Source organism: Homo sapiens, chromosome 1 (genome assembly GCF_000001405.40).
Source record: "Homo sapiens chromosome 1, GRCh38.p14 Primary Assembly".
In the NCBI taxonomy this organism is placed as follows: Eukaryota; Metazoa; Chordata; class Mammalia; order Primates; family Hominidae; genus Homo; species Homo sapiens.
In genome coordinates this window covers 152,449,605-152,458,587 of record NC_000001.11, presented here as the reverse complement: position 1 = coordinate 152,458,587, position 8,983 = coordinate 152,449,605, and the positions used below count along the sequence as shown (strand labels likewise).

At 42.0% G+C, this 8,983-nt stretch overlaps 1 annotated feature.

The window, feature by feature from the left end:
- Positions 1 to 70: an enhancer, noted in NCBI's record as "active region_1731". NCBI's record gives its function as "activates an Ori minimal core promoter by ATAC-STARR-seq in GM12878 lymphoblastoid cells {active_cell/tissue: GM12878}" and the evidence as "EXISTENCE:reporter gene assay evidence [ECO:0000049][PMID:35858748]".

The following is an 8,983-nucleotide window of genomic DNA, read 5'->3' as shown; positions in this document are numbered from 1 at the left end:
GGAGCCAGAGCACCACGGAAATCCTAATTGTTGGCTGACAGCAGTCAGCGCAGGGAAGCTTATGGGCACAGCCAGTCAGCAAGTCTTTTGGGTCCAGACCTCGGCTTCCTCTCTCTCAATGCCTTCTATCAAAACCCCCCCACCTTGTGCCAAGTGCTGCTCACAGTCTGCCAAGCAGCTCCCCTATCTCAGGCTCTACCTAGTCAAAATGATCTTTCAATCAAAATTCCAATTTTCTTTTCAGTCACTTTATATAGCTGTTGTCATAGTAAGTGACAACTTGGTTTAATAAAGCCAGTTGTGCCAGGATGTTGCTAGGTAATATTTGCTACTTCTAGGTAACGTGTATATTTTAACAGGTGCCTTCTGATGATACATATGGGGACAGGTAGGCATTCCAAATGCTGAGATCCAGTGCCACTCACCTTTAGACCACCCTGCATTCCATGGGCTATACTTAATATTTGGTGCTTACCCACAGTAAGCTTACATTAGGTTGAACACATAAAATTGTTCATAATCCACCATTTTACCTACAAAACAACAATTTCATATGGTCCAAAATAATATTTCACTTCTTCACCCCCACTCAATTTCAGTGTAGACTCCAGGTCTTTTTTTTTACTTTCCCCATCACATTTTTGCCCTCAAGCACTGTTTTCACTCTTGTTATATTCCCCCCCTCCAGCCCTACCTCAGTTTCCAGTTCCTACACCTTGCCTAGGCCACACCTCACCCTTGCAGGGCATCTCCCTGCTGAGGCAGCTGCTGTGATGGGATTGGTCCCACCTGCCATCTCCAAAATGAGCACAACAGGGCTTTGTCCAGCCAAGAACATAGGGCTCCAGCTCCTCCCATACCACAATATCCCATGAGCACTCTCTCAGTCTCCCAGCAAACTTCTCTGCCCTCGCAGACTCTGGAGTGCCAGTCCCATCGAGTAACTATCTGAAACCCTTTGAGTCTAATTGTCTTCAGATGTGAAATGTAAAAGGACAATGCACACCACATAAGGTTGACATAAGGAATGACTGGCGTAATGGTTGTAAAAAGCCTAGCACTGTGCCTGGCAGATGGCAGTCATTCTGCAAGGTACAGTTGCCCTCTCAGAACCTAGGCATGGTGTACAAGACCAAAGCCCCCAAAGCAACTCATTGTCCTGTCCACCTCTTCCTAAAATGCCATGTTATTGTTGCACCCCCATAGGCACCATTTTGTCAAGTGTGGTCTGGTCCTATTCTCCAAGCACTCTGTATCACACACTCCTGTGATTGCCACAGCATGGGGCAGGGCTGGCCTGGTAACTCCCTAAGGGACTAAGTCCTGCCTCACCAACAGTCTTCTATTCTGTCCTGGGCCCCTGAGATTCTGCCCTTCCACACAACAAGAGTAGTGACTGTGATACCAGAACCACATGACATGTTAAATAAAGAGGCTCTGTAAAGAGGAGCAGAGAGATGTGTGCCCCGGAGGGGAGGGAGGTGGTCAGGCTGGGGGTGAAGAGTGGTGGGACTTGGCCCTAGGAACTCCTGCCCTTTTGTCCTCCTTCCTGCCATACCCTCTCCTGTGTGTTCTTAGCATCTCACCCCCACTCCTCATCTCTCCAGTTCTAAAACAGTCTGTCAAGGCTTCTGGAAGTGGAGAGAGACCCAGGCTGGTTATGGAGGGATTATAAGGAACTGCTAAACACAAAAGACAATGGTCAGCCTCACCCAGACAAAGGCAAATGCCTGTCTTAGTGGGGAGATTGCATGTTCATCCAATTTGAAATTTTAAACAGATGTATAACTCTAAATACTTTAGAATTACAATGTTAGGTTGTGATTTTGAAAAATACCAGAAAAAATGGTATTATGCTAGCAAAAATATAAAGTGGAAATTTCCTCTTCCAATGGGAATGGAGTTACAGGGATGGATTTATCCTGTAACCTGAAACAACTACATAATCTGACAAGCTATAGTTGGCCTTCCTTATACTTGACTTCTACATCCATGGATTCAACCAACCATGGATCAAAAACATTTGAAAAAATACAATAAAAATACAATTTAAAAATACAGTATAACAACCATTTACATAGCATTTACATTATATTAGGTATTATAAGTAATCTAGAGATGTTTTCATGTCTACAGGAGGATGTGCATAGGTTATATGCAAATATCTTGCCATTTTACGTGAGGGATTTGAGCATCTCCAGATTTTGGCATCTTCAAGGGTCTTGGAACAAATCCCTCGTGAATACCAAGGAATGGCTATATAAAAAGAACAATAGTTTTCAAGACCATGAACCTGAAGCAATGCAGGACCATGATGTTTGCAAGATGAAACAAAATGAGCTGAACCCTAGGACTGTCCTGGCCTCCTCCCGGCAAAGGGTTTCCAGGCTGTGACTCAGGGAGCGGAAACTGGCAGAGTCCAGTGGACTCTCAGGATTGAATAAATGGAACTGGATCCTAAAAGACCAAGGCAGCTAGAGTTTTCAAGACAGACTACTAGCCTAGCTGTGGGGAAAAGAAAGAGAGATCAGACTGTTACTGTGTCTATGTAGAAAGAAGTAGACATAAGAGACTCCATTTTGTTGTGTACTAAGAAAAATTCTTCTGCCTTGAGATGCTGTTAATCTGTAACCCTAGCCCCAACCCTGTGCTTGCAGAGACCTGTGATGTGTTAACTCAAGGTTTAATGGATTTAGGGCTATGCAGGATGTGCTTTGTTAAACAAGTGCTTGAAGGCAGTATGCTTGTTAAAAGTCATCACTACTCTCTAATCTCAAGTACCCAGGGACACAATACACTGCGGAAGGCCGCAGGGACCTCTGCCTAGGAAAGCCACATATTGTCCAAGGTTTCTCCCCAAGTGATAGCCTGGGATATGGCCTCATGGGAGGGGAAAGACCTAACCATCCCCCAGCCCAACACCCGTAAAGGGTCTGTGCTGAGGAGGATTAGTAAAAGAGGAAGGCCTCTTTGCAGTTGAGATAACTCTGAGGAAGGCATCTGTCTCCTGCTCATCCCTGGGCAATGGAATGTCTCGGTGTAAAACCCAATTGTATGTTCCATCTACTGAGACAGGAGAAAACCACCTTATGGCTGGAGGTGAGACATGCTGGTGGCAATACTGCTCTTTAATGCACCAAGATGTTTATGTATTGGCACATCAAAGCACAGCACCTTTTTCTTAACCTTGTTTATGACACAGAGACATTTGTCACATGTTTTCCTGCTGACCTTCTCCCCACTATTACCCTATTGTCCTGCCACATCCCCCTCTCTGAGATGGTAGAGATAATGATCAATAAATACTGAGGGAACTCAGAGACCAGTGCCGGCGCGGGTCCTCCGTATACTGAGCGCCCGGTCCCCTGGGCCCACTTTTCTTTCTCTATGCTTTGTCTCTGTGTCTCTTTCTTTTCTCAGTCTCTCGTCCCACCAGACGAGAAACACCCACAGGTGTGGAGGGGCAGGCCACCCCTTCACCTAGCAAGGCAAGAGCTAGAGAGAGAAGGGGGCAGGGGAGCCCTGACAATCAGGAACAGCCTCCCCTCAGATCCTTAGCTGAGTTATGATCAGCACCTGTATGTGAGGAAACTACCTGAGGCAGAGGATGGACCTCCCTGCAGGAATGAAAGCGAATAATCCCAGGATCACCCCGAGTTAGGAAGAACCCCTGTTCCTAACAGCTAGAGTAGAAAACATCATAATTTATTGGATACTGGGTAGAGTACTCAGAAAGGTTTTGCCTCAGTGGTGTAGTAAAATTGGTCCTAAACTAAACACTGCTCTGGTGCCACCCATCATATCTTAAAAAGCAAAATTTGAAGGACCAAACTGTTTCCAAGTAACTTAACTTTTGTTTCTTATTTATAGAAACAAAAATATATCCAGCCATTCAAATGGTAAAATTCACAATGTGTGGTATCCATAAAAAATTACCAGGCATGAAAAGAAGGAAAATATAATACATAATAAAGAGAGGAAGTCCTAACCAGAGCAAGCAGGCAAGAGAAAGAAATAAAAGGCATCCAAATAGGAAGACAGGAGGTCAGACTATCTCTGCAGGTGATATAATTTTATACCTAGAAAATCCCATAGTCACAGCCCAAAAGCTAGATCTGATAAACAACTTCAGCAAAGCTTCTAGATACAAAATCAGTACACAAAAATCAGTAGCATTTCTATACACCAATAATGTCCAAGCTGAATGCCAAATCAAGAACACAAATCCCATTCACAATAGCCACACACACACAAAACAAAGCAAAACAAAAAAACACCTACAAATACAGCTAAACAGAGGTGCAAGACCTCTACAATGAGAGTTAGGAAACACTGCTGAAAGAAATCAGACATGACACAAACAAATGGAAAAACATTTCATGCTCATGGATAGGAAGAATCAATATTGTTAAAATGGCCATACTGCCCAAAGCAATTTACAGATTCAATGCTATTCCTATCAAACTACCAGGGTCAGAATTAGAAAAAAAATTCTAAAATTCATGTAAAACAAAAAAAAAAAAAGCCCAAATAGCCAAAACAATCCTAGGCAGAAAGAAGAAACCTGGAGGAATCATATTATCTGACTTCAAACTGTACTATAAGGCTACAGTAACCAAAACAACATGGTACAGGTAAAAATAGACACATAGACCAAAGGAACAGAATAGAGAGCCCAGAAATAAAGCTACACAGCTACAACTATCTGATCTTCAACCATTTATCTTCAATAAATGGTGCTGGGATAACTGGCTAGCCATATACAGAAGATTGAAACTAGACCCCTTCCTTACACCATATATAAAAATCAACTCAAGATGAATTAAAGACATCAATGTAAAACCTAAAACTATAAACACCCTTGAAGAAAACCTAGGAAATACTATTCTGGACATAGGCCCTGGCAAAGATTTTATGACAAAGACACAAAAAGCAATTGCAACCAAAACAAAAATTGGTAAGTGGAACCTAATTAAACTAAAGAGCTTCTGCATAGCAAAAGAAACTATCAACAGAGTAAATAGACAACCAACATAATAGGAGAAAATATTTGCAAACTATGCATTTGACAAAGGTCTAATATCCAGAATCTATAAAGAAATTAACAAGCAAAAAACAACCCCATTAAAAAATGGGCAAAGGACATGAACAGACAATTTTCAAAAGAAGACATATACATGGCCAAAAAGCATATGAAAAAAATATTCATCATCACTAGTCATTAGAGAAATGCAAATCAAAACCACAGTGAGATACCATCTCACACCAGTTAGAATGGCTATTATTAAAAAGTCAAAAAGTTAACAGATGCTGGCAAGGTTGTTGAGAGAAGGGAACACTTATAGATATAGATATATACCCAAAGGAAGATAAATTATTCTACCATAAAGACACATGCACGCATATGTTCATCGCAGCACTATCCACAATAGCAAAGACATGGAATCCACCTAAATGCCCATCAACGACCAACTGGATAAAGAAAATGTGGTGCATATACACCATGGAATACTTCTCAGCCATAGAAAAGAACAAGATCATGTCTTTGCAGCGACATGGATGGAATTGGGGGCCATTATCCTAAGCAAACTAATGCAAGAACAGAAAACCAAACACCACATATTCTCACTTATAAGTGAGAGCTGAACACTGAGTACACATGGACACAAGGAAGAGAACAATAGACACCAGGGCCTACTTAATGCAAGAGGGTAGCAGGAGGGTGAGGATTGAAAAACCATCAGATACTATGATTATTATCTGAGTGACAAAATAATATGTACAACAAACCCCCACAACACACCACTTATCTATTAAACAAACCTGCACATGTACCCCTTAAACTAAAATAAAATTAAAAAATAAAAAGGTAAAGAGAAAAATAAATCAACTGATATTGACCCAGAAATGACCAATGATGACAGATGACAGAAATAGTAGATGAGGGCCAGGTGTGATGGCTCATGGCTGTAATTCCAGCACTGTGGGAGGTCAAGAAAGGAGAATTGCTTGAAGCTAGGAGTTCAAGACCAGCCTGAGCAACTAAGCAAGACCCTATCTAAAAATAGGTTCTAAATGAGGATGTTCTAAAAGTTAATATAATCGTGTTTCATATGTCCAAAACACTAGCAGAAAAGATTAAGCAGGGACATGAGAGAGAGAAAACAAAGCCAAATCAAACTTCTTGAAATGAAAACTAAAATGTCTGAAGAGAAGAATAACTGAATGGGATTAACAGCATTTTAAACACTGCAGAAGTGATGATTAGTGAGTCAAACACATAACAATAGAAACCATCTAAAATGAAGGAGAGGAAACAAAAACTGAAGAATAAGTTAAGCAAACATAGGACATCTTCATGCAGCCTGATATACATGTAATTGGAGTCCCTAAAGGAGAAGATGGAGTGGAAATGGGAGAAAAACAACTTGAAGAAATAATCACCCCAAATTTCCAAATTTGATTTTTTAAAATAGAAAAACTATACATCTAAGAATCTCAATGATCCCTAAGCACAATGAATATTTTTAAAAATTAAAACCGAGGCACATCATAATTAAATTGCTGAAAACTAGTGATTAAAAAAAAATCTTAAAAGCAGCCAGAGGGAGGAAAAAACACGTTATGTACAGACAAAGAAAGAGTAGAGTAATAGCAGGTTTCTTGTCAGAAATGACCCAAGTCAGAAGATGGCAGACCAATATTTTTAAATTACTGAAAGAATTGTCAACCTAGAACTTTGTACCCAGGGAAAATATCTTTCAAAATGAAGAAAAAGAAAATACTTCTTAAGACATTCAAATGCTGACAGAATTCATCACCAACAACCTTGAACTACAAGAAATCTTACAGGAAGCCTTTTAGGCAGAAGGAAAATGATATCAGATGGAAATCTGGAGTTATACCAAGGGATGAAGAGCACTTGAAATGGTAATTATGTGAGTAAATATAAAAACACTTTTTATTATTATTTCAATCTATTTTTAAATAGTACAGCAAACTGGAATACTGAACATCTAAAAACATGTCACAGTTACTAGCCCAGGGTACCCAGCAGCTCCGGGCACAGCCCTCTCCGGAGTGGACCTGAGCACAGTTCAAGGCACCACCTTTAGCCCGTGGCCAGCAGGGAGCGCCTGTGGATCTTGGAAAACGCTGCCTCACCCCTTGGGCCTGCCCTCCCAGGTGTCAAACTACCTGGGCCAGGGGCTTTGGGGCTCTCCGACAGCCACAGAGGTAGAATCCCTTGAAGATAAATTATAAAATATGAAAGACCCAGGTGGGGTGGACTGCTGGGCAACCCAGGTCCTTTTCTAGGCTTTCCCACTAACTTGTCCTGAGCCCTTGTTTGGGCATCTGCCTTTCTGGACATTAAATAAAAGAATTATGTAAAGTGCTTTGCATGGTCCCTCATTTGTGAAATACAGGATGGGACTAGCTGATGTCTAAGGGCCCGTCCATTCCCCACACTCTTAATTCCTCAGTCTTCCCGTCTCATGTGCCAGCTAGGCCCTTCTGCTTCTGCTCTGGGGGAGTCTGCAGGGGTAGAAAGAGGCAGAATCTCTCCCTCTGGGGGAAGGGTTACAGAGAGAAGGCTTTGAGAAATCAGAACCTGAAAATCAAGTTCAAGAATTCCCTGTAAGTCCCATGTGCAACCACCATGCAAAGCACTTTATATAATGCTTTCATTCAATTCCCCATTCCAACCCCCAAAGTGAGAGAGAGAAAAATAATTACCCCAATTTTTCAGGTGAAGAAACTGAGACACAAAGATATGAAGAAACTTGCCTAAGGTCAAACAGCTAACAAGTGGTGGAGCTGGCATTTGAGCCAGAGGTCATGTCCTGACATATATGGTCATGTATGGGGGCTCCATGCAGGCCTCCATGAGCGTTGCACTGACTGTCCTGAGAAATGCCTCTGCCTGCTTTTTGCACTTCAAAATCACAGACTAGCCTGGAAGGGTTCTGGCAGTTTTCTGGCCCACCCAGAAGATGCTGACTCAAAACAAATTTTTTTAATGTCTAGAACCTGTTACACCTGCCCAGTTCTGTTTCTATAAAAGTCCACTCCAATAAGGGTACTACAGTTTAATGATAGTTCTAGACATTATGTTCGGATAGCACTATTAAGTTTACATATAACTGCCATGAGTATCATTGCAGTTCTTCACAACAAATGTAAGTATTAATAATAAAACATGATTTTTTAAAAACAATACTCTTTTCCCAGATGTGGACAGTTCAATACAGTCTAACTGACTTGGTCAGAATCACATAACCAAGGGTCAATTAATAAGAATGGTAACTTTAAACTCCCCCATCCCAATCTTATGCTGTTCTTTTACACCTCTTTTCTCCTAAGTCACTACCCCCAAAGCCTGTGATAAGCAATATGTATGTGTGTATTTCTCTATCATGTGTGTAAGACGGAAATAATTTTTAAAATGCTCAGAACAAGATAAGCGGGTTGGACCAGTGGCACCACCAGCAAGAAGGACTCTTTCCTTCCTGCTGAGACCACCTTCCAGAGTCCAGTGCTCTGAGAGGGTCATCCGCTGCCTCCTTCTTCCCATGAGTCTGAGATTGGGCCATTTCCTCTATGCCCTTAATGGCAGAGCAGGCTCTCTGAACTCCCCAGGGCTCTGCATACCAGGTCTTCCACCCAACCTCCACAGAGCTGGGCCCCACCCCAACCCTCAGCCTCCTCTAGAAGGCAGGGAGGACCCAGGGAACAGAAGGGGGCCCTTGAACTCCCCTCATCTTTAATGAGGGAAAGATATAATCACCTGTCAGCTGCATGGACATAATTAACACCTGCACAGAGTTTCGGTTGCTGATTAAGGGTACTCCTCCCTAGCTGAGGTTCTTATAGGAAAGTCTGTCACAACTTGCTAGAGATGGGATGACAGGATTAAGGTCAGTGCAGGGGCAGGGGTCCCTTTTCTCTGAACTCTAAGGTTCTTAGCACTGGATCAGGAACA